At 45.0% G+C, this 24,967-nt stretch overlaps 1 protein-coding gene and 1 long non-coding RNA gene across 14 annotated transcripts in view, besides 3 other annotated features; one reads left to right on the top strand and one right to left on the bottom strand.

Annotated features, from left to right (window-relative positions):
- The window catches only part of ZNF217 (zinc finger protein 217), a 30,632-nt gene extending 22,095 nt beyond the window's left edge, over positions 1-8,537 (top strand). For 9 of the 13 annotated variants that reach the window (XM_011529036.2, XM_047440462.1, XM_005260545.5 and 6 more), the window contains exon 5: positions 6,344-8,537. In XM_011529036.2, the coding sequence (XP_011527338.1) occupies positions 6,344-6,492 (149 nt within the window). In that variant the 3' untranslated portion in view covers positions 6,493-8,537. Of the gene's footprint in view, positions 1-3,754; positions 3,888-6,343 lie in introns of those variants that run through there. The other 4 variants (XM_047440464.1, XM_047440463.1, XM_047440465.1 and 1 more) reach the window with 2 other exon arrangements.
- ZNF217-AS1 (ZNF217 antisense RNA 1) lies at positions 300-22,838 on the bottom strand. The gene is made up of 6 exons (NR_110051.1): positions 22,521-22,838; positions 18,853-18,970; positions 12,741-12,859; positions 5,105-5,336; positions 2,752-2,960; positions 300-1,250 (listed from the first exon to the last, which is right to left on the bottom strand). It is a non-coding gene; the product is annotated as a ZNF217 antisense RNA 1 (long non-coding RNA).
- Positions 2,304-2,454: a silencer, noted in NCBI's record as "fragment chr20:52189693-52189843 (GRCh37/hg19 assembly coordinates)". NCBI's record gives its function as "represses an EF-1alpha promoter that drives an FKBP-Casp9 reporter gene in an ReSE screen in K562 erythroleukemia cells {active_cell/tissue: K562}" and the evidence as "EXISTENCE:reporter gene assay evidence [ECO:0000049][PMID:32094911]".
- Positions 16,078-16,261: a silencer, noted in NCBI's record as "fragment chr20:52175886-52176069 (GRCh37/hg19 assembly coordinates)". NCBI's record gives its function as "represses an EF-1alpha promoter that drives an FKBP-Casp9 reporter gene in an ReSE screen in K562 erythroleukemia cells {active_cell/tissue: K562}" and the evidence as "EXISTENCE:reporter gene assay evidence [ECO:0000049][PMID:32094911]".
- Positions 18,192-18,692: an enhancer, noted in NCBI's record as "H3K27ac hESC enhancer chr20:52173455-52173955 (GRCh37/hg19 assembly coordinates)". NCBI's record gives its function as "activates a minimal SCP1, AML or CMV promoter by ChIP-STARR-seq in naive H9 embryonic stem cells {active_cell/tissue: H9 hESC(naive)}" and the evidence as "EXISTENCE:reporter gene assay evidence [ECO:0000049][PMID:30033119]".
- Positions 22,839-24,967: the final 2,129 nt, after the last annotated feature.

The raw sequence follows: 24,967 nt of genomic DNA, 5'->3' as shown, positions 1-24,967 counted from the left end.
TGGGGGTCACAGAGAGAAGCATTCTTAGATACGGCAGTGGTTTGTGGTCCTCCAAGGCTTACTTAACTCTGTGGGTTTAACTCTTAACCCTGTGTATTTTATTCTTTTGATTTGTTTAGTCTTACTTTATTTTTAGAGAAAGGGTCTTGCTCCGTCATCTAGATTGGAGTGCAGCGGTGTAATCATAGCTTACTGTAGTCTTGAATTCCTGAGTTCAAGAGATCCTTCTGCCTCAGCTTCCCAGGTAGCTGAGACTATATGTGCTGCTACCATGCACAGCTGATTTTTAAATTTTTTTTGTAGAGATGGAGTTGCCCAGGCTGGTCTTGAACTCCTGGCCTGAGGTGATCCTCCTGCGTTGACCTCCCAAGTATCTTAGACTACAGATGCACTCCACCACGCTTGGCTAACTTAAATTTATTTTTTTGTAGAGACAGGGATTTGCTTTGTTGCCCGGGCTGGTCTGAAACCCCTGGCCTCAAGTGATCCTCCTGCCTCGGCCTCCCAGAATGCCAGCATTACAGGCGCGAGCCACCATACCCAGCCTTATTCTTGAGTAATTTTTCTTGTCAATTTTATTTTTCTGTTGTGAGAGTGATCATGGAAACAGTGGGTGAGAACACTGGTCTGTCTAGTCCATTCTTGTCTTGCTGTTGAAATTCCAGATGCAGCCAGTTGAGGCCCCAGCTTGCCTCACTTCATCACAGCCCTTTTTCTTCCTTTGCACATGTATGGTGTGCTCAGTAGTCAGTGCCAATCCACCTGGAGTTGCGGGGGTTTTTTTTTTCTTTCTTTCTTTTTTTTTTTTTTTTTGAGACGGAGTTTTGCTCTTGTTGCCCAGCCTGAGTGCAGTGGCACGATCTCGGCTCACTGAAACCTCCTTCTCCTGGGTTCAAGCAATTCTCCAGCCTCAGCCTCCTGAGTAGCTGGGGTAATAGGCACGTGCCACCACGCCCGGCTAATTCTTGTATTTTTAGTAGAGACAGGGTTTCAGCATGTTGGCCAGGCTGGTCTTGAACTCCTGACCTCAGGTGATGCACTGGCCTCGGCCTCCCAAAGTACTGGGATTACAGGTGTGAGCCACCGCGCCCAGCCTAGGGGTTCTTCCTCACGCATTTTACCATTCCCTGCTGGCCTGTAAACTTCTTAAGAGCAGAAACCATGTTTTACATGTACAGCATCAAGTCACATGCTTCCCACACGGGGCAGAATAGGGGGCGCCCAGTAAGGACCACACGTGGACCCTTGACCTGGCAAGAGCAGAAAGCAAAAGAACTTCCGATTAAAGAGTCTTGTGAACCGTTTTGCTGTTAAATGTTGTCAGCCCTCCATATCCTTGGGTTCTGCCTCAGTGGATTCAACCAACTGCGGGACTAAAATATTTGGGGGAAAAATGGATGGTCGCATCTGTACTGAACATCTGCAGTTTTCTTTTCCTTGTCGTAATTCCCTAGATAATACAGTATAACAACTATTTACATAGCATTTACTTCATATTAGGTATTATAAATAACGAAGAGATGATTTTTTTTTTTTTTGAGATGGAGTCTTGCTCTGTTGCCCAGGCTGGAGTGCAATGGTGTGATCTCAGCTCACTGCAATCTCTGCCTCCCAGGTCCAAGCAGTTCTCCTACCTCAGCCTCCCGAGTAGTTTGGATGCAGGCACCCACCGCCACGCCAGCCTAATTTTTGTATTTTTAGTAGAGACGGCATTTCGCCATGTTGGTCAGGCTGGTCTCGAACTCCTGACCTTAGGTGATCCTCCTGTCTTGGCCTCACAAAGCGCTGGGATTACAAGCATGAGCCACCATGCCCAGCAGTGTAGAGATGATTTAAAGTATATGGGAGGTGCTGGATGTGGTGGCTCACATCTGTAATCCCAGTACTTTGGGAGGCTGAAGCGGGCAGCTCGATTGAGGCCAGGAGTTGGAGACCAGACTGGTCAACATGGTGAAACCCCGTCTCTACTAAAAATACAAAAATTGGCTGGGTGTGTTGGTTTGCACCTGTAATCCGAACTGTTTGGGAGGCTTAGGCATGAGAATCGCTTGAACCGGGGATGCGCAGATTGCAGTGAGTAAGTCTAGATTGCACTGTTGCACTCCAGCCTGGGCTAAAGAGTGAGACTCTGTCTCAAATAAATAAATAAATAATAAGTAAGTAAAGTATATGGGAGGATGTGAATAGGTTACGCTACAATACTGCAAATTAATAGTACTACAAGGCCAGTTGCGGTGGCTCACGCCTGTAATCCCAGGACTTTGGGAAACAGCCTGACCAACAATGGAGAAACCTCGTCTCTGCTAAAAATACAAAATTAGCTGGGTGTGGTAGCGCATGCCTGTAATCCCAGCTACTCCAGAGGCTGAGGCAAGAGAATCACTTGAACCTTGGGAGGTGGAGGTTGCGGTGAGCTGAGATTGTGCCATTGCACTCCAGCCTGGGCGACAGAGCGAGACTCCATCTCAAAAAAAAAAAAAAATAGTACTACAGATACTATGAATACTGCAGATACGACACTGTTTTATATTAGGGACCTGAGCATCCATGGATTTTGGTATCTGTTGGCTGGGGTGGTGGGGGCGGGTGGTCCTGGAGCCAGTGCCCTCTGGATACTGAGGGACAACTGTATTAATTTAAAACCAACCTTATTTCCCCCATAGGTAGATTGTTAACCTCATAGATGACTGGGGTTTTCCCCATAGAAATGTGTCCTGGTGGTGTCACTTCGTACAGGTGTCTGGCACATACCTGTATGTGTAAAAAAGTAGCTCAGTGTCCCAGGGACATCTTCTCCTTGGCAAACTCGGTCAAACTGCAGCATCTTCCTTTATCACATAGAAGCTCTACTGGTTTGTGCTCCCCAAAGAAACAGATTCAGTTTTGCACATTTCAGTTTGTGTTAGTTTCAAACTGAGGATTCTGTGTGGTGACAACACTCTGTCAAGAATTGCTTGATGCTGATTGGTTCAGTAGAGATAGCAAATTAAAAAACAATTGCTTTCAGACACTCCAGTAGATTTTATAAAAATTGTGATGAAATAGTAATTTTTACTGCCTTTTGGTTAAAAATCTTCATTTCCCCCCCCATGGTGCTTAAAATGGACATGAATCAAAACTTTGTCTTTACTTAAAGGGGGAAAAGGCTCTGTGTGTTGCAAGTCAGATCCTCTTTTTTTTTTCCCCTCCTCTGTGAGACAGGGTCACACTCTGTTGCCCAGGCTGGAGTGCAGTGGGGGCAATCACGGCTCACTGCAGCCTCGACCTCCGGGACTCAAGCAATCCTTCCATCCTTCCGTCTCAGCCTCCCGAGTAGCTGGGACTAAAGGTGCATGTCACCATACCCAGCTAATTTTTTATTTTTAGTAGAGAAGAGGTCTCACCATGTTGCCTATGCTGGCAAATCCCCTTTTAAATGATTTTAAAAAAAGCAAAAAACAACACTTTTACATAGTTTGGTTCATGATGCATATACGTTTCAAGTATTTTGTGATGTCATTTTTTTCCGGCTTTTTAATTCTTTCTAGTGACAGCCCAGACAATTTTAATGTTAGTGACATCAACCAAATTCTGTGCTAACAAGTGTCATAAAAACAATTCAGCTGTAACTGAAAACACTTGCATGCGACTGTGTGACTTAGGCGTTGATTACATTATCAGTGTCAGAAATTTTGAAAATTGACTTCTAAAAACCTATACACATCTTACCTAATTGTTTGACCTTAACTCTAAATATGTTTTTTTTTTCAATCAGGAAAAAGGCCTGTGTCATATCAACACTTATCTAACAGCATGGCACAAAAGAGAAACTATGAGAATTTTATTGGGAATGCACATTATCGACCAAATGACAAAAAAACTTGATTCACTAATTAGGGGGAAAAAAGGTGAGCATATGTTTCAATTAAAAACACTGGATTGGCTGAGTGCGGTGGCCATTTGGGAGGTCAGGGCGGGCGGATCACCTGAGATCGAGCATTTGAGACCAGCTTGGCCAACATGGTGAAACCCCTGTCTGTACTAAAAATACACAAATTTAGCTGGGCGTGGTGGCGGGTGCCTGTAGTCCCAGCTACTTAGGAGGCTGAAGCAGGAAAATCACTTGAACAACCCAGGAGGCGGAGGTTGCAGTGAGCAGATTGTGCCACTGCAGGTCTAGCCTGGGTGACAGAGCGAGACTCAGTCTAAAAAAAAGGGGGGGCGGGGGCGGGGATTGATTTTACTTGATCGGAAATAAACCATTAAGTTGTCTAATATAATGTAACAAAATTGCTTTTAAGTTGGATTTTGATTTTTTAGGTGTTTTAAAATTAGAGTCCTCAGGATCTTTGGATATTACTGAAGATAATAGGAAAACAGTCATAGTGACTGGAATTTACTGAGCATTTACTTTGTGCTAGGCATTGAATGAAGTGTTTTATTATCAGGATCTCATTTAATTCTGTTGCAGCAGAGGGCTTAGGTAAGGGATGAGCAAACTAGCTTTTCATGCATCATCATCAATAAAGTTTTATTGGAACATGATCATGCCCATCTGTTACATATTGTCTGTGGCTACCTCCTTGCTGCAGCAGCAATGTCGGGCAGTTGTGACAGACCACGTGGCCTGCAAAGCTGAAACTATTTACCGTCTGGCCCTTTACAGAAAAAGTTTGTGACCCAGCATTAGGAGGTACTGTGCATGCTTTTCAGATGAGACCGAGGCATGGATTATGCAGTTTGCTCAAAGCCCCGCTCTGCCTGTGAGAGGCAGGAGCCTGGTTTTTGTCCTAGGTCTGCAAAGATCCAGGCTCTATGCCCAACGTTCTAGTTTAAGAACTTGTTCAAAGACTTGGCAAGTACTTATCTGCCAAGATAAGTACTTATCTGCCAAGGAGGGGAACTGGGACAGGAGCAAGTATGTGAGCATGTGGTTCACATGTTAAAGGTCTCACTGTAGTGCACCGCCGTCCCGTAAGGCTCAAGTAGTAGTATCAGAATTATGCATGTTGGTTTTGTTAGTTTATATTTAGTTAATTAGTTTGGGCAGAAGGTGTGATGTCTGTGTACAGGTTATACTATGACTCATTCAACAATAAGATTAAATGGAAAGCTTGGGGCTCACGGGCAGATTTAGTTGTTCCTCAGGTAACTCTTGTCCCGTAAAACCGTCACTGTATATTCGTTGAGCAGCCTCTTCACCAAGTGCCTGCTGGCTGCTAGGATACGAAGATGAAAAGATGCTCGTGGTCCAGGACAGAATTTCTCTGTCATATTTTCATCGGGACTCATATGGGAACTGAGATGACGTTCTCCCTGGGCAGCGTGAGCCTTGTGTGGTTCTGCAGTCTTTTCTCCTGCTTAGGATAATAGATGAAGAACATGAGGGAGTAAAGCTTTGTCATCACAGGAATAAGATCCAGTCCACTCTATATTAAAACATAAAAATAATTTATGAATTATGAGGAGCAGATTTTAGTAACAGGTTACTCGAAGCATCCATTACAACTGATCAGTAGTAGCAAACAGCCATGCTCCTGTATCTGGAGCTGGTGTCTCTCTGGGAGCTCTGAGCTTCTCTGCTTGTGTTTCCTTCATCTGGAGAACATCCTGCCTGCTCTGTCTTTGCTTTCCAGCCTCTTCTTTCTCATCCTCTGGACCAGCTCACATATTGGTTTTGTTTGTCTGAGACAGGGTCTGGAGTGCAGTGGCACGATCTTGGCTCACTGCAGCCTCAAACTCCTGGGCTCAAGCAGTCCTCCCACCACAGCCTCCTGAGTAGCTGGGATTTTCTTGTGCATGGCAACTGCCTTTTACTGAATTCTGATTCTTGGTTAAGTCATCTCAGTTAAATTACTAAAAGTAGCTCCAAAGTTCGCAGCATTATCTAGTTAGTCATTCTCCTAATACTTTCATAGCAAAAGTTGAACTTAAATAGAACCCAGGGCCAGGCGCAGTGGCTCATGCCTGTAATCGCAGCACTTTGGGAGGCCAAGGCGGGCAGATCACTTGAAGTCAGGAGTTCAAGACCAGCCTGGCCAACATGGTGAAACCCTTCTCTACTAAAAATACAAAAAAATTAGCCGGGCGTGGTGGTGCATGCCTGTAGTCCCAGCTACTTGGAAGGCTGAGGCAGGAGAATCGCTTGAACCTGGGAGGTAGAGGTTGCAGTGAGCCAAGATCGTGCCGCTGCACTCCAGCCTGGGCGACAGAGTGAGACTGTCTCAAAAACAACAACAACAAATAGAACCCATTGCATTTCTAGGTCAGTTTGGTTCTATGTATTACGCTTTTTTAAAGAAAGAATTTTCTAAACTGTATTCAGTTTTGATCTTAATCATTTAAAAAATGTTGTTTTCCTTAGGTCTTGGTGGATGTCAGTGCTTACTCCCCATGAAATTAAATTTTACTTCATCCTTTGAGAAGCGAATGGTGAAAGCTACTGAAATAAGCTGTGATTGTACTGTACATAAAACATATGAGGAATCTGCAAGGAACACTACAGTTGTGTAAAGTTGTTCTGTTAACTTTTGTACCAAATAGCAATACAAACTAGTTGGAACAGTTGGAACTTACATACATGGGGACTGGAAATCTCTATTTTGTCCCTGAATAATATTTTTCTTAGAATTGACCAAATAAGAAGTGGAATTTTTGCATACTTGAGCGCTGCTGAAAAGAAATCATTTGGGTTGGGTGGGGCGGGATGGGGGAAAAGTATATAATGCTTGCACCTCAGGTAAAAATCTGTAAATATCTAAGTTGTAAACCTGCTTGTTCAAATACTGTGTGTATTCCTTTTCTCTAATGCAGCTCATCACTTGGAGCAGTTTCTGCTATTGTGCTCTTTCATTTAAAATGTATGTTTTTTTTTTTTTAAACTGTCAATGATTTTGTATTATGTTGAATCCACCCAAATCTATTGTTGTCTTAAAATTGTTAATGGAAGTATTGACCCTCTATGATATGTGCTGCAGATATCGAGGTCAGCCATTCGGAAGCTGGCAGCATTTTATCGCAACTTTGAGCATCTCAGATGGGGAAGGCACCTTCTTCCTCGCCTCTCCAGATTGTCCTGGAACCTCCAGGATCCTTGACTGAGGGCGTTGGGATGGCTTGTAGGATTTTTAAGAGAGTGTGTCTACAGACAAGCATTTTCTCTGTAGAGCAGCCACACGTTGTATAAACATAAACTGTATGTGCAGTTATTTAAATTTGTTTCTGTCAAATTAATCATTTTTGTTGGACGATTCAGTGGCGGGGGGGTTTTGCCTAAATTAGTATATAAAAACAAAAATGCTAAATTATATCTGTGAATTGCAGGTATTGGGGAACAGTTTTAAGGGAAATTTTGGGGGGAACATTTTAGGTTTGTATTTGGTAGTCTTAATGTATCTGGCATTTGGGTGAACTGTGGACATACTAGAGTTGATTATAGACACATTGATTTTGAATAAGGAACTGCTGGCCGAGCCCGCTGGGAGTCTAGAAAGAGAAAATCTGTTTCTAGACCTCAGTTATTTTCCCATTTTTGGTTGTTTTGAAGCAGTAACATTTTTCTCAGTGCACATGCAATTTGGGTTTTAGAGAAGATGGCCACCAGCTGGCTTCCTAGATATTTTAAACTTTTGTTCTTTAATATGCTGTCCATGGCTGAGTTTATTAGTACATGGGCTTAGTGACCACAAAATATTTTATTAAGAAACTGTTTCAAAAATAAATTTGCACTGTTCATTTTTCTGGCCTCGCTGTTCTCCATAGAGCAAGGGTAATCCTAGAAAAAATTTTTTTTTTTTAAATTATGCAACGTAAGATGTCCTCCTTGATAGAAGTCTTAGCTCCTGTGTTACAAGGGAGAACTCATTTGAGATCAGTCTGTTGGCATTGCAATGAAGTGCTTTGTATCAGGAAAGTGTACACTATTGACCTTTTTTCCTGTTCACAAGCTGAGCCATATGTACATAATCTAGATTTTGTTTTCATAGTTTTGCACTTTTATAGCCTATTTTTGAAGATTAACACATTTGCAAGATGATTGACTCAATCTTTGCCTAATCCAATGAGTGTTACAGAGAGCTTGCTGTGACTAGAACCATAAATCTTAAAGGGGGTATGTGATAATAGAGGGCTGGAATTTAAACCTGTATTTAAAAAAAAGAATCACCAAATCTATTTGAAAACAAGTCGATTTGTATTATGCTGGAATTTTTTGGGCTTTCAGATTTCTCTTTTTAACCACATTTCTGAATGTATAAAAATACCAATTATTTTCCTACAGCCCTTTGTACTTCAAAATATGTTTTTGTGTCCATCAGTATTAACTATTGGTATACTACTGGTTTTATATTTTTTTTTCTTTGAGACAACAGTACATATAATAGAGGTACAATTCGTTGGATTTTTGTTTATGTATTTATTTCATTCCAGTTTGATTTATTTTAATTGTTGATACTTAAGTTGTCGAACAGTAGACATTACTTGTTTTATTTATGATATATTTCAGCTTAAAGTTATGTTATTATATGTGGAAGTGTAAATATAGATTTGGTGTTTTGCAATCTTGAGTTTTAGTGTTTATTGTGTTTCTGGTTTCTGATTTTGTTTTATTTAACTTTTTAGTTTTCTTTCTTTTTTTTTTTTTTGAGATGTGCTCCTGCTCTGTCACTCAGGCTGGAGTGCAGTGGTGCAATCACAGCTCACTGCAGCCTTGAACCCCTGGGCTCAACTGATCCTCCAGCTCTCGGCCTCCCGAGTATCGAGCCATCATGCCTGGCTTATAAACACAATTTTAAGGCCAGCACGTGGCTCACGCCTGTAATCCCAGCCCTTTGGAAGGCCAAGGCGGGTGGATCACTTGAAACCAAGAGTTTGAGACCAGCCTGGCCAACATGGCGAAACCCCGTCTTTACTAAAAATACAAAAATTAGCTGAGTGTGGTGGTGCACACCTGTGGCCCCAGCTACTCAAGAGGCTAAGGCATGAGAAATCACTTGAACCCGGGAGGCAAAGGTTGCAGTGAGCTGAGATTGCGCCAGTGCACTCCAGCCTGGGCAACAGAGCGAGACTCCATCTCAAAAACAAAAACAAGAAAACCCCACACTCTTTTTCTTTTTTCTATTTTTTTTTTTTTTTGAGATAGGGTCTTGCTCTGTCGCCCAGGCTGGACTGCACTGGCGCAATCTCGCCTCGCTGCAACCTCCGCCTCCTGGATTCAAGAGATTCTCCTGCCGCAGCTTCCCAAGTATCTGGGATTACAGGCGTGTGCCACCATGCCTCGCTAATTTTGGTATTTTTAGTAGAGACAGGGTTTCACCATGTTGGTCAGGCTGGTCTTGAACTCCTGACCTCAAGTGATCCGCCTGCCTCGGCCCCCCAAAGTGCTGGGATTACAGACGTGACCTACCATGCCCAGCCCACCAACCTTCTTCCTTAGGATTTTAGCTGCCATTGATGTTGCAAAAGTCACTTTTAAAGACTTCTTAAAATTCCACATCTGTTAATTGAAATTCTATTAAGAAGAGCTTCCTTATGATTATTTGGTTACCCTGAAACACAGTTTCAACCAAAAAAAGGAGAAATGCTCGTTTTGTTTGTTTTTTATTCCTCTTGATTACCAGCTTTGAGGATGAGTTGGTGCCAGCATTCTCCAGAGGTGACCCAGGAATAAGCTTTTACATTTTTGGTATGAGCTCACAAGTCTTATACACTTGATGTGTTGAGAGCATGTGGTCGTCATTTTGATGCCTCAAGTCTCTTGTTTTTGGTCAGTGGGAGTTCCAAGTTGGCCCAGTGTTTGCAGGACAAAAGTCTGAAGGCTTCTTAACTTTTTGTTAAAACATGTTCTGGCTGGGCATGGTGGCTCACGTCTGTAATCCCAGCACTTTGGGAGGCTGAGGCGGGCGGATCACCTGAGGTCAGGTGTTCCAGAACAGCCTGGCCAACATGGTAAAACCCCATCTCTAGTAAAATACAAAAATTAACTGTGAAACCCCGTCTCTACTAAAATACAAAAATTAACCAGGTGTGGTGGCAGGTGCCTGTAATCCCAGCTACTAGGGAGGCTGAGGCAGGACAGTTGCTTGAACTCGGGAGGCAGAGGTTGGAGTGAGCCGAGATCGCACCACTGTACTCCGGCCTGAGCGACAGAGCGAGACTCAGTCTCTAAAAACAAACCCCAAAACAAAACCGGAGATGATCCAAATCCCACCTGTACTGACCCACACCTGGGAACCGTCATTTATCCAAGGATCCTGGGTTCCTTTTATGGGAAGCGGTAATTAGGGCAGTTTGGGCGCAAGGGGCATTTAGTCCTACCTGGGTGGTTGTGCTCCTGGCCTTTTTAATGTAGGGAAAGGAAATAAATATTATCAAAAAGGAAACCTCAGTGAATTATACTGCTATTTCCAACTCACGTTTTAGAGTTTTCTTTGATTTTGTTTTTGATTTTCTGAAAAGCTGGGTTCCTGGCTTTAACCTACTGTATATAACAGAAACAATGCCAATGTTATTGCTCTTATCACTGCCCAATGAACCTTTCAGATTTCTCTTTTGAGTTGGAGTCTCGCTCAGTCTCCCAGGCTGGAGTGCAGTTGCGCCATCTCAGCACACTGCAAGCTCTACCTTCCGGGTTCACACCATTCTCCTGCCTCAGCCTCCTGAGTAGGTGGAACTACAGGTGCCTGCCACCACATCCGGCTAATTTTTTTTGTATTTTTAGTAGAGATGGGATTTCACTGTATTAGCCAGGATGGTCTAGATCTCCTGACCTCATGATCCACCTGCCTTGGCCTCCCAAAGTGCTGGGATTACAGGCGTGAGCCACCGCGCCCAGCCTAAAGTAACCATTTTTAAAAATTATTATTTTTTTCTAAGAATGAGTCTCGCTCTGTAGCCCGGGCTGGAGTGCAGTGGCACGATCTTGGCTTACTGCAACCTCCACCTCCCGGGTTCAAGCAATTCTCTGCCTCAGCCTTCCGAGTAGCTGGGACTGCAGGCGCATGCCACCAAGCCCGGCTAATTTTTGTATTTTTAGTAGAGATGGGGTTTCACCATATTGGTCAGGCTGGTCTTGAATTCCTGAGCTTAGGTGATCCATCTGTCTCAGCCTCCCAAAGTGCTAGGATTACAGGTGTGAGCCACTGCGCCCAGCCTAAAAATTAATTTTTGATTTATCTTTTCATTAATTCTTTTTGAAAATACAGGCATATTTGCAGGTCTATTTATATCTCCCTTTCTTATTTAAAAAGGAGTTTACAGTCCACACTAGCACAGGCTGATTTTAGCACTGTTTCATTGTTTTCCTGGAGAATGAAACAGCACACACACACACACACACACACACACACACACACACACACGAAAAAAACGCTGAAAAAAAATTTTTTTTTAAAAGAACACGGTTTTCTGCTGAACATCAAATGACTCGAAGAAATCTACTTTGGAGAGGTTGAAGTTGGTGGTCTTTTCTCTACCTGCTTTTATTTCTTCAGTATATCTTTATTGAGCTTTCACTAAGTGCCAGGCGCTTAGGGCTAGTACTGGCTGGGTGCCAGGGACATGTGTCTCATGAACCAGGTAGCATTTCCTACCCTCTTGGGGCTGTCTTTGTGGGGTTGCTGGTGGTGGAAGACATTGAAAATAGGTCATCATGGCTGGGCGCGGTGGCTCATGCCTGTAAGTCTAGCACTTTGGGAGCCCCAGGCTGGTGGATCACTTGAGGTCAGAAGTTCCAAACCAGCCTGGCCAACATGGCAAAACCCCGTCTCTACTAAAACTACAAGAATTTGCCGGGTTTTGTGGTGTGCGCCTGTAATCCCAGCTACTTGGAAGGCTGAGACACAAGAATTGCTTGAACCTGGTGGGAGGAGGTTGCAGTGAGCCAAGATCGTGCCACTGCACTCCAGCCTGGGTGACACAGCAAGACTGTGTCTCGGAAAGAAAAGGGCTGGGGAAGGGGAGGGGAAGGGAAGGGAAGGGAGGGGAAGGGAGGGGAGGGGAGGGGAGGGGAGGGGAGGGGAGGGGAGAAAAGGTCAACAGACCAGTTATGGCCCTGCTGTAGTGGCTGGGGAGGAAATCAGCAGGAGACTGAGAATAATTAGGAGAACCCACGAGAGCTGGGTGGTCAGGACAGGACCTAACAGGTCCTAGAGGATGAAAGGAGGTGGCCATGTAATTAATGCTTTATAAAGAATCTTGGCCGGGCACGGTGGTTCACGCCTGTAATCCCAGCACTTTGGGAGGCCGAGGCGGGTGGATCACGAGGTCAGGAGATTGAGACCATCCTGGCTAACGCGGTGAAACCCCGTCTCTACTAAAAATACCAGAAAATTAGCCGGGCGTGGTGGCTGGTGCCTGTAGTCCCAGCTACTCGGGAGGCTGAGGCAGGAGAATGGCATGAACCTGGGAGACGGAGCTTGCAGTGAGCTGACATCGCACCACTGCACTCCAGCCTGGGCGACAGAGCGAGACTCCGTCTCAAAAAAAAAAAAAAAAAAAAAAAAAAGAATAGGTTACAGCTATTGATATTTACCTTAATAGATATGGAAAACTATTAAATAATTTACAAATTCAAGAACAACAATAATCCCACTACATGTTAATATAAAGAAAATTTGGCCGGGCGCAGTGGCTCACCCCTGTAATTCCAGCTCTTTGGGAGGCCAAGGTGGGCAGATCATCTGAGGTCGGGAGACCAGCCTGGCCAACATGGTGAAACCCCGTCTCTACTAAAAATACAAAAATTAGCGAGGTGTGGTACTCACCTGTAATCCCAGCTACTTGGGAGGCTGAGGCAGGAGAATCGCTTGAACTCAGAAGGCAGAGGTTGTAGTGAGCTGAGGTCGTGCCATTGCAAGCCAGCCTCAGCGAAAGAGTGAGACTCCTTCTCAAAAAAAAAAAAAAAAGAAAAGAAAATCTTTTAGTCAGGGATGGTGGCTCTTGCCTGTAATCCCGGCACTTCTGCAGGCCGCGGAGGGTGGATCGCTTGAGCCCAGGAGTTTGAGACCAGCCTGGGGAACATGGAGAGACCTCATCTCTACAAAAAATACAAAAATTAGCCGGCCATGGTGGTGCATGCCTGTAGTCCCAGCACTTTGGAAGGCCGAGATGGGAGGATTGCTTGAGGCCAGGAGCTCGAGACCAGCCTGGGCAACAGAGTGAGACCTCTGTCTATACATAAAATAAAATAAAATAACAAAATTAGCTGGGCATGGTGTTGCAAACCTGTAGTCCCAGCTACTCAGGAGGTTGAGGTGGGAGGATCACTTGAGCCCAGGAGGTTGAGGCTGCAGTGAGCTATGATTGTACCACTGCACTCTATCCAGTCTGGGCAGCAGAACAAGACCAACTCAATGGAAAAATAATAATAACTTGTTTTTTTTTTTGAGACAGAGTCTCACTCTGTCTCCCAGGCTGGAGTACAGTGGTGCGATCATGGCTTGACCTGGGTTTAAGGGATTCTCCCACCTCTGCCTGTCCAGCAGCTGGAACTACAGGTGCTTGCCACCATGCCTGGCTAATCTTTTTTTTTTTTTTTTTTTGAGACAGAATTCACTCTGTCACCTAGGTGCAGAGTGCAGTGGTGTGATCTTGGCTGATTGCAACCTCTGCCTCCCTGGTTCACCTCAGCTTCCCGAGTAGCTGGGATTACAGGTACATGCCACCACACCCAACTGATTTTTATATTTTTAGTAGAGAAAGGGTTTTGCCATGTTGGCTAGGCTGGTCTCGAACTCCTGACCTCAAGTGATCTGTTGCCTTGGCCTCCCAAAGTGCTGGGATTACAACTGTGAGCCACTTCACCCGGCCTAATTTCTGTGCGTTTTTTTTTTTTTTTTTTTTTTTGTAGAGGTAGGGTCTTGCTATGTTGCCCAGGCTGGGTGAGTTTTGCAAAATGGTTATGTGTGTGAATTTAGCTGAAGCAATAACGAGGATTTGGTTGCATTGGGAACCAAACCAGTCTCTAGTTATGAAGAAGGCAATGAGCACAACACACTTCTGCCAAATTGTAGGGGAGAAGTGCGTTCTTGAAGACCATCAATAACTGAATATCTGAACTATTCAAGGCTATTTTTCTCAATGGAACTAACTGACCAATGATGGGGCATTTTACTTAGTGCCATAAAGTGTCACCTCCAGGTGGCACGGGTGTTAACAAAGTTTGCCAGTTCCTTGTTCTACCAGCTTTGAAATTCAACTTTGATAGTTGAGCAACTTTTCAAAGATGGAACATTTGTGTTATTTCAAATGCTGTGGGGAACATTTGTGTTATTTCAAATGCGGCAGAAAAGATGAAACTCTATTAGTAACGCTTTTAATAAACTTTAAATTTTTTATAATTCAAAAAAATTTAAAGTTCCTTGAGCTAGCTTGTATGTTCATTACCTAGTGTAGTCCTTGTGCTTAGTGATTGTAACAGCAGAGCAAAATGACACCGCTGTTATATGGATATTTATTTCCAGTGATGCCAAAGGCCCAGTTTTTTTTTCTTTCTTTCTTCCTTCCTTCCTCCCTCCCTCCCTTTCTTTCTTTCCTTCCTTCTTTCCTTCCCCTCCCTTCTTCCTTCCTTCCTTGTTTTTGACAGTCTTGCTCTGCTCTGTCACCCAGGCTGGAGTGCAGTGGAATGACCTCGGCTCACTGCAACCTCTGCCTCCCAGGGTTCAATCGATTCTCCTGCCTCAGCCTCCTGAGTAGCTGGTATTATAGGCATGCACCACCACGCCTGGCTAATTTTTGTATTTTTAGTAGAGACAGGGTTTCATCGTCTTGGCCAGGCTGGTCTCCAACTCCTGACTTTAAGTGATCTGCCCGCCTCAGCCTCCCAAAGTGCTGGGATTACAGGTGTGAGCCACCACTCCTGGCCCCAAAAACCCAATTTAATTAAAAGAAGAAGAAAAAAAGGAACTCTCACTGCCATTGTGTTCTCCACTTTGCCCCAGGTGCTGGGCTCTGAGAGCTCCAGGGGCAGGGCTTGTATTTTCTAGGGAGGATGTAAGGCAAGAAAGCCCAGGGGAAAGTAAATGACCCTGGGAAGGAGGAGTCAAGTCCTAAGAGACAGGATTTGGCCCTGGAGGGAAAAGGGAGAAAGCCAGTCCTGAAGGAAGGGAAGGAGTTGCTCAAGCTCCAGGCGGGGTGGGGTTGAGCCTGGAGCCGCGCTCCCCTCTCCTGGTTCTCTCACCCCTTCCTCCTGCCTTCTTCTCTCCCCACTTCTCTTCCCTCTATCCCTCATTTGCAGATGGATCCATCAAGAACTTCTGGGCCGGATGCAGTGGCTCATGTCTGTAATCCCAGCACTTTGGGAGGCCGAGGCAGGCGGATCACCTGAGGTCAGGAGTTCGAGATCAGCCTGACCAGCATGGAGAAACCCCATCTCTACTAAACATACAAAATTAGCTGGGTGTGGTGGCACATGCCTGTAATCCCAGCTACTCGGGAGGCTGAGGCAGGAGAGTCACTTGAACCCAGGAGGCGGAGGTTGTGGTGAGCTGAGATTGTGCCATTGCATTCCAGGCTGGGCAACAAGAGAGAAACTTCGTCTCAAAAAAACAAAACAAAACAAAAAAACTTCTGGAAATGGACCAGGCTTAGTGTGGTTTGTGGGACCTAAAGACGACTAGCAAGGAAAATGATCCAACTCACCATTCGCCCCAAATGGGAATGAAACTCAGGATGACAGAGATCACAAGGCTTCTTGAACTTCTATTCAGATGCAACTTTATTTGTTTTGTTTTTTGTTTCGTTTTGTTTTGAGACAGAGTCTCACTTTGTCTTCCAGGCTGGAGTGCGGTGGCACAATCTCAGCTCACTGCAACCTCTGCCTCCCAAGTTCAATTGATTCTCATGCCTCAGCCTCCCGAGTAGCTGGGACTACAGGTGTGTGCCACCACACCTGGCTAATTTTTGTATTTTTAGTAGAGATGGGGTTTCGCCATGATGGCCAGGCTGGTCTCGAACTCCTGGCCTCAAGTGAGCCGCCCACCTTGACCTCCCAAATGCTGGGATTACAGGCATGAGCAACTGTGCCCAGCCCAGATGCAACTTTAATGCCACAAATACCTCCTTGGGTGTGCCATGTGATATCAATTATTCTGGTTACAGATTTTCTTAAGTAGAGAAATAATGGTAGTACATGAACAATAATACCAATAGTTTGGTACTTTAAAATAGCATAAACTGGCCACGGTGGCTCTTGCCTGTAAACCCAGCACTTTGGGAAGCCAAGGTGGGAGGATCGCTTGAGCCCAGGAATTCAAGAACAGCTTGGGCAACATAGCGAGACCTCATCTCTAAAAAACAAACAAACAAACAAAGTAAAATAGCAAAGGTGCAAAAGCCTGCCAAGAATGGAATGGATGAGTAAGCTGTGGCATCTCCTTGCAGTGGTCAGTATACAGTGACAAGAACGGATGATCTACAATCATAGAGCAACATGGAGAAACTTCGCAAACATAATGCAGAGCAAAAGACGCCAGACACAAAAGACTGTGTTCCGTATGACTCCACTCATGCAAATGACAAAAATGGGTAGCACTAGCCTATGCTGCTGGAAGTCAGGATGGCGTGTGCGCTGCTGCTGGTGGTGGGCAAACAGCAAGCAGGTACAGACACGCTTGGGATTCTAGACCTTTCGTTCCATGGTCTGGGTGCTGGTTTATGTTGTGAAAATAAATTGAAGTCTACACTTATGATTTGGGCACTTTTTGTGTGTATATATATGTATATATACATATATATGTGTGTGTATATATATATACACACATATATGTATGTGTGTGTATATATATGTGTGTGTGTGTATATATATATATATATATATATATATATACACTTCAGTTTTTTTGTTTGTTTTACAGAGAGGGTCTCACTCTGTCACTGGGATGCTGGGGTGCAGTGGTGTGATCATAGCTCACTGTAGCCTCCAACTCCTGAGGTCAAGTGATCCTCCTGCCTCAGCCTCCTGAGTAGCTTAGACTACAGGAATGCACCACCATGCTTGACTAATTTTTAAAAATCTTTTAAAAACTTTTCTTTGGTAGAGATGATCTGTTGACCAGGCTGGTCTTGAACTTCTAGCCTCAAGCAATCCTCCTGCCTCAGCCTCCCACAGTACTGGGATTATAGGCATGAGCCACCAATCCTGGCTGTATTATACTTCAATTTTAAAAAAGGAAAAAATAGCAGAGTAAAGTATGAACAAATTGAGGTTATGACTCACAATACACCTCCTTTTTTTGTTTTTTGTTTTTTTTTTTTGAGACAGAGTGTTGCTCTGTCACCCAGGCTGGAGTACAGTGGCGTGATCTCAGCTCACTGCAACCTCTGCTGCCTACCCTGCCGCCCGGGTTCAAGTGATTCTCTGGTCTCAGCCTCCCAAGAAGCTGGGACTATAGGCATGCACCACCAGGCCCAGCTAATTTTTGTAATTTTTAGTAGAAATGGGGTTTTGCCATGTTGACCAGGTGGTCTCGAACTGACATCTGGTGATTTGCCCACCTTGGCCTCCCAAAGTGTTTAGATTACAAGCGTGAGCCACCACACCCAGCCCAATTTTTATTTTATTTTATTTTATTTTATTTTATTTTATTTTTTATTTTTATTTTTTGAGATGAATCTTGCTCCGTCGCCCAGGCTGGAGTGCGGTGGTGCTGTCTCGGCTCACTGCAGCCTCCACCTCCCGGGTTCAAGCAATTCTCTGCCTCAGCCTCCCGAGTGGCTGGGATTACAGGCGCCCACCACCATGCCCAGCTAAGTTTTTTGTATTTTTAGTAGAGACGTGGTTTCACCATCTTGGCCAGGCTGTTCTTGAACTCCTGACCTCATGACCCACCCGCCTCGGCCTCCCAAAGTGCTGGGATTGCAGGCGTGAGCCACTACACCCGGCCTATTTTATTTTATTTTTGAGACGGAATGTTTCTCTTGTCGCCTAGGCTGGAGTGCAATGGCGCGATCTCAGCTCACTGCAACCTCTAACTCCCGGGTTCAAGAGATTCTCTCACCTCAGCCTCCCAAGTAGCTGGGACTACAAGCATGTGCCACCATGCTCAGCTAATTTTTGTAATTTTTAGTAGAAATGAGGTTTCACCATGTTGGCCAGGTGGTCTTGAACTACTGACTTCAGGTGATCTGCCCACCTTGGCCTGCCAAAATGCTGAGATTATAGGCGTAAGCCACCATACCCAGCCCAATTTTTAGCTTTTGCTCTAGGTGTGATGGGAAGCTGTGGGGAGGTTTAGCAGAGGGTTTAAGTGACTGGACTTAGCACAGCTGTGTTTTCCTTCATGGTGTCTGACCCGAGGGCCATTGCATCATTGATGTTAATTCCAAATGAGGCTGAATATTCATGCGGAGACACCGACGGGGTTGACCGGAGCTGCTCCTCCCACCTCATTGAACTTGATTGCCATTTCTGGAAGGCTTCATCTGTCAGTGCCCCCGACCCCCAGGAGGAGGGTTGGGAGGGCTTCCTAGAAGAAGAGCTGTCTAATCTGAGGCTTGCACAAGGATCTGGGAGGGTTTGCACCGGCTGTTGCCTCTGAACTTCCCTCTTGGGAGGAGGTTAAAGGCAACAAGGCACATTTCGGGGATCATCAGGAGGGGGATGCCCTTGAGTAAGGAGTTTTCTGCCAGGAAAGGGTACGAAGAGGCTGAGGAGGTGGTGGTGAGCTGGTTAAGAAAATGTGGGCATTATCTTGTGGTCAATAAAAAGACACTGAAGAGGCCAGGCATGATGGCTCATGCCTGTAATCTCAGCACTTTGGGAGGCTGAAGTGGGAGGATTGCTTGAGCCCACAAGTTTGAGAGCAGCCTAAGCAACATAGTGAGACCCTGTGTCTACAAAAAATACCAAAAAAGTTAGCCAGGGGTGCTGGCACATGCCTGTAGTCCCAGAGACTCTGGAGGCCGAGGCAGGAGGATCGCTTGAGCCTGGGAGGCCAAGGCTGCAGTGAGTCATGATGGCACCACCACACTCCAGCTTGGACAGCAGAGTGAGACCCTGTTTAAAAAAAAAAAAAAAAGACAATGAAGAGTGCAAAGTCGCAGAATGACAAGATCTACCATTTCATTGACCGGAAGTGAACATGCAACATTAAAAATCAATGGCCAGACAACCTTTTGGTTGAACTTTTATTGATTTGTCCTTGATACTATCAGTTAGAGTTGAAGGTGATCAGGTGAGTGCAGCACACGTTGAAAAGTGAAACCCTGGCTGGGCGCGGGGGCTCATACCTGGAATCCCAGCACTTTGGGAGACCGAGGTGGGCAGATAACCTGAGGTCAGGAGTTTGAGACCAGCCTGACCAACATGGTGAAAACCCGTCTCTACTAAAAATACAAAAATTAGCCGAGTGTGGTGGTGGGCGCCTGTAATCCCAGCCACTCTGGAGGCTGAGGCAGGAGAATTTCTTAAACCCGGGAGGCAGAGGCTACAGTGAGCTGAGATCATGCCATTGCACTCCAGCCTGGGCAACAAGAGTGAACCTCTGTCTCAAAAAAAAAAAAAAGAGTGAAACCCTCTAGTGACTCTTACTGATTTTTGCTGATCCTTAATATAAAGCAAGTAGTCATAAGTCGTAACCAGCCCAATGGCCTCCTTTCATCTACGATACAAAAGACACCTGGAGTTGAGAAGCTGAAAGACCTTGAGAAGTAGCATTTGGTCTGTTTGGACTTTAGCTGACACAGTGAGGTCTTATTTTCTGCAAATCTGAATTGTGCAAATCTGAAGTTGTGAATTAGAGGCTTGTTAGAGTTCCACAGTATGTACCAAATTTGCAATAATGTGAATTCCACATTAGAAAGGCTCTAAAAATCTTATTTCAGGGTGGCCTGGTCCCCTCCTTGTTGAAATTAGACTTGCATCTTGTGGGTTCAAACAATGATGGGCTTTGAGTTTTCTTTTTTTTTTTTTGAGACTGAGTTTCATTCTGTCACCCAGGCTGGAGTGCAGTGGCGTGATCTTGGCTCACTGCAACCTCCGCCTCCCGGGTTCAAGAGATTCTCCTGTCTCAGCTTCCCGAGCAGCTGAGATCACAGGCATGTGCCACCACGCCTGGCTAATTTTTGTATTTTTAGTAGAGATGGGGTTTCACCATGTTGGCCAGGCTGGTTTCAGACTCCTGACCTCAAGTGATGCCCGACAAAATGAGACTCCATCTCAAAAAAAAAAAAAACAACAAAAAAAACTTCTATTCATTTTTCAGATCTCAGCTGGCTGTTCTTTCTTAGCTGTGGCTGCCCCCACATGTAGGGCCTCCTCTCCTGCCTGATCCCGAAGCACTCCCACTTTCCTGTTACTTGCAGGGCTGTGAGCATCAGTTTATTTGCCCTCAGCCCTTGGCACACCACAAACTCCTGGAGGTCAAGGATGACTTCGGTTTGGTTCATAGTTCATAACTCTCTGCCAAGCACATGACATTCTGCCCAGTACATCGTAGGAGCTGGAGAAATAGCGTAGTAAATAAAATTATGTAAATTAAACTTAATTAAAATATTCATTTTTAGAAAAACAAAAACAAGGCTGATAGGCCATTGGTGAAATTGACAAAAATGAACTAAAATTTGCCTAATAAATAAAATAGAACACGTTATTCAAAAACATTTGAAGGCTGGGTGTGGTGGCTCACGCCTGTAATCCCAGCACTTTGGGAGGCTAAGGCGGGCAGATCACGAGGTCAAGAGATCGAGACCATCGTGGCCAACATGGTGAAACCCTGTCTCTACTAAAAATACAAAAATTAGCTGGGTATAGTGGCAGGTGCCTGTAGTCCCAGCTACTCAGGAGGTGGAGGCAGGAGAATCACTTGAAACCGGGAGGCGGAGGTTGCAGTGAGACGAGATCACGCCACTGTACTCCAGCCTGGCGACAAAGCAAGACTCTGTCAAAAAAAAAAAAAAAAAAAAAAAAGAGCTTTTGAAGAACATGAATAGCTAAACCTACCCTACTGTATAAAGAATGTTGGAGGCTGGGCGCAGTGGCTCATGCCTGTAATCCCAGCACTTTGGGTGTTCGAGGCAGGCGGATTGCCTGAGGTGAGGAGTTCGAGACCAGGCTGACCAACATGCTAAAACCCCGTCTCTACTAAAAATACAAAAATTAGCCAGGCATGGTGGCGGGTGCCTGTAATCCCAGCTACTCAGGAGGCTGAGGCAGGAGAATCGCTTCAACCTCGGAGGTGGAGGTTGCAGTGAGCTGAGACTGGGCCATTGCACTCCAGCCTGGGCAACAAGAGCGAAACTACGTCTGAAAAAAATAAAAAAAGTTGGAATTTTGATTGGAAAAAGTAACACTTCATAAGGGAACGTTTTAGTTTGTATTGATTTCAATTTTGCCAACTTTCTAGCATGTTCAGGATTCTTCCAGCAGCTTCTCAGACAGCATATCAGCTTCGGTTAGCTACTATTCAGACAATTGCATTTCATAATCAGCAATCAAAATTGTACTTTTCTGTTAAAGCTGTTAAAATATTCTTGCTTTTAAAAAAGCTGTTAAAAACACAATTGGAAAAGTCAGTGAAATGATCATTTGATATTTGATTATTCAGTGAATTAGTTTTAGGCAAATCGGACTGGCAGGCTGCAGAGGTGGCAACAGGCCAGAGGTCATTAGAGGACCAGGAAGCCACAGGAAGGTCACCTCGGCTACATTTTATAGCTCACAAAATGTTTTTACACACACACTACCCACTCCCCCCCCTCCACTGCCCCCATCACCCCGAGATGGAGTCTGTCGCCTAGGCTGGAGTGCAGTGGCACAATCTCGGCTCACTGCAACCTCTGCCTCCCGGGTTCAAGCAATTCTCCTGTCTCAGCTTCCCAAGTAGCTGGGATTACAGGCACCCGCCACCATGCCTGGCTAATTTTTGTATTTTTAGTAGAGACGGGGTTTCACCATGTTGGCCAGGCTGGTATTGAACTCCTGACCTTGTGATCCTCCTGCCTCAGCCTCCCAAAGTGCTGGGATTATAGGCGTGAGCCACTGCACACAGCCTATACACACACTTTTTTAAAAAAACTTTTTTATTTTGGGATTTTTTTTTTTTTAAGTTTTAGTCTTGCTCTGTCACCCAGGCTGGAGTGCAGTGGTGTGATCTTGGCTCACTGCAACCTCCGCCTCCCAGGTTCAAGCCATTCTCATGCCTCAGCCTCCCAAGTAGATGGGACTACAGGCGCCACCACACCTGGCTAAGTTTTGCACTTTTAGTAGAGACAGGGTTTCACCATGTTGGCTGGGCTTGTGTCGAATCCCTGACCTTAAGTGATCCTCCTGCCCTTGGCCTCCCAAAGTGCTGGGATTACAGGCTTGAGCCACCTCGCCCAGCCTGGAATAATTTTATATTCACAGAACAGTTGTAAAGAGATTGCAGAGAGTTCCTGAATTCGAACCCAAGTTCCAACCCTGCACCCAGCTGGCCCTAGTGCTACCATCTTACATAAGCACAATGCATCTGTCAACACTAAGAAATTAACACTGGTATGTTACTTTATTTAGAATTCCCTAGTTTTCCCATTAGTGGTGGGATTTTTTTTCTGTCCCAGGATCCTACCTTGCATTCAGTCATCATGCCTCTTGTAGTCTTCTCTCGTCTGTGACCATTTCTTAGATTTTCCTTGTTTTTCATTCCGTGGACAGTGTTGGGAAGGACTCGGTGTTTTGTAGAATGTCTGCTGATCTGGGTTTGTCTGATGTTTTCTCATGATTGTCTGGGATTACGGGTTTTGTGGAGTATAATGCAGAGGTAAAGTGCCTTGTCATCTCATCATATCATGGGAGGCGGGGGTAGTATTGTGGGAGGCAGGGGTATGTGAGAGCCGCCTGGCAAATCTTGCCTCTACCAGGGTGCTTAATGTTGTCACATGTTTGATTATCATAACCTGTAAAATAACTGGAAAAGTTAAGATTCTATTTTATCATTTCAATGATTTTTTTTTTTTTTAATTTTGAGATGGAGTCTCGCTCTGTCGCCTAGGCTGGAGTGCAGTGGCGCAATCTCAGCTCACTACAACCTCTGCCTCCCGGGTTCAAGCAATTCTCCTGCCTCAGCCTCCTGAGTAGCTGGGATTACAAGTGTGCACCACCATGCCTGGGTAATTTTTGTATTTTTAGTAGAGACGGAGTTTCACCATGTTGGCCAGGCTGGTCTTGAACTCCTGGCCTCAAGTGATCCGCCTGCCTGGGCCTCTCAAAGTGCTGGGATTACAGGAGTGAGCCACCACGCCAGCCTCAACAGATAATATTTTAGTGAGCAGTCATATATGCAGGCGTTGCTTAAATTGAAGTCATTCAGTATTAATGAGGAAGGTCAGATGAGATCCTGTACTTAAGGAGCTGGGAAACTGAGGATTCGAGAGTCTAAACAGCTTTACCCAATGTGGTCCAGGTTGTAGGTGGCAGAGCCAAAATTCAAACGCGTGTCTCACTTCAAAGGCTCTGTGTGTGTTTGTGTGTGTGTGTGTGTGTGTGTGTGTGTGTGTTTGCTTTTGCTCCATTGATTCCAAATAACAAAACAAAACCAAACAAAAACTTTGCTACAAAACCCTCACTCTGATCCTGATGCTATCTTAATTGTGATAAATGTGTTGTTTAATCTTCACAACAAACTCATGGAAAGGAACTATATGTAATCCCAGAGCTTTGGGAGGCCGAAGCGGGAGAACTGCTTGAGCCCAGGAGTTTGAGACCAGCCTGGAAAACGTAGTGAGACCTCATCTCTACAAAAAGTTTAAAAATTAACCAGGTCTGGTGGCATGTGCCTGTAGTCTCAGCTACTCTGGAGGCTGAGGTGGGAGGATTGCTTGAGCCCAGGAGTTCAAGGTTGCAGTGAGCTGTGATCGCACCACTGCATTCCAGCCTGGCCAACGGCATGAGATCCCTGTCTCAAACAAAACTAAACAAAACCAAAAGAAAAGGAACTACATATCCTTCCTTTTTCAGGTGAGGAAACTGAGCCTTTGAGTGGTTAAGGAACATGTTCAAGGTTATAAAGCTGGCGCATGGGCTGGGCGCAGTGGCTCATGCCTGTAATCCTAGCACTTTGGGAGGCCGAGGTGAGCAGATCACCTGAGGTTTCTACTAAAAATACAAAATTAGCCAGGTGTGGTGGTGCATGCCTGTAATCCCAGCTGCTCGGGAGGCTGAGGCAGGAGAATTGCTTGAACCCGGGAGACGGAGGTTGCAGTGAGCCAAGATTGCTGCATTGCACTCCAGCCTGGGCGATAAGAGAGAAACTCCATGACACACACACACACACACACACACACACACACACACACACAAAAGCTGGCACATGGCTGAGTTGGGACTGGAAACAGACTGCTGGGCTCGAGGGCCTGAGTTTTCTTCATCAGAACATCACACACATTTAAAAATGTTTTGAAAATGTATATGTTTATTTATATTGAGGTAAAATTTACAAAACATAAAATATACCACATTATGCAAAGCTGGAGGCCAATAAACAAAATATATGTAAAAAGAAGAAAAAAATTCAAAAAGAAAAACTATATTAAAGTGTACAATTCAATAGCTGTTAGTACACTGACAACGTTGTGCAACCACCACCTCTATTATCAAGTTTCAAAATATTTCCATTGTCTCAAAAGGAAGCCCAGTTAGGCCACCACCCGCCATCCTTCCCTCCCCTAGCCTCTGGCAACCACTAATCTAGCTTCTGTCTGTATGGATTTACCTATTCTGGGCATTCCATATGACTGGAATTATGTGGTTTTTGTGTCTGGTTTCTTGCCCTTAGTGTAACTTTTTTTTTTTTTTTCGAGACAGGGTCTTGCTCTGTCACCCAGGCTGGAGGGCAGTGGCGCAATCGCAGCTCACTGCAGCTCCGACCTCCTGGGCTCAGGTGATCCTCCTGCCTGCCTCAGCCTCCTGAGTAGCTGGGGCCCCAGGTGTTCAGCACAATACTCGGGTAATTTTTTTTATTTTTATTTTTTGAGGAGACAAGAAGGTCTTACTATGTTGCTCAGGCTGGTCGGGAAC

The sequence above is a fragment of the Homo sapiens genome, chromosome 20, assembly GCF_000001405.40.
Source record: "Homo sapiens chromosome 20, GRCh38.p14 Primary Assembly".
Classification (NCBI taxonomy): Eukaryota; Metazoa; Chordata; class Mammalia; order Primates; family Hominidae; genus Homo; species Homo sapiens.
Note: the sequence above shows the minus strand (reverse complement) of the source record. Positions and strands in the feature narration are given on the sequence as shown.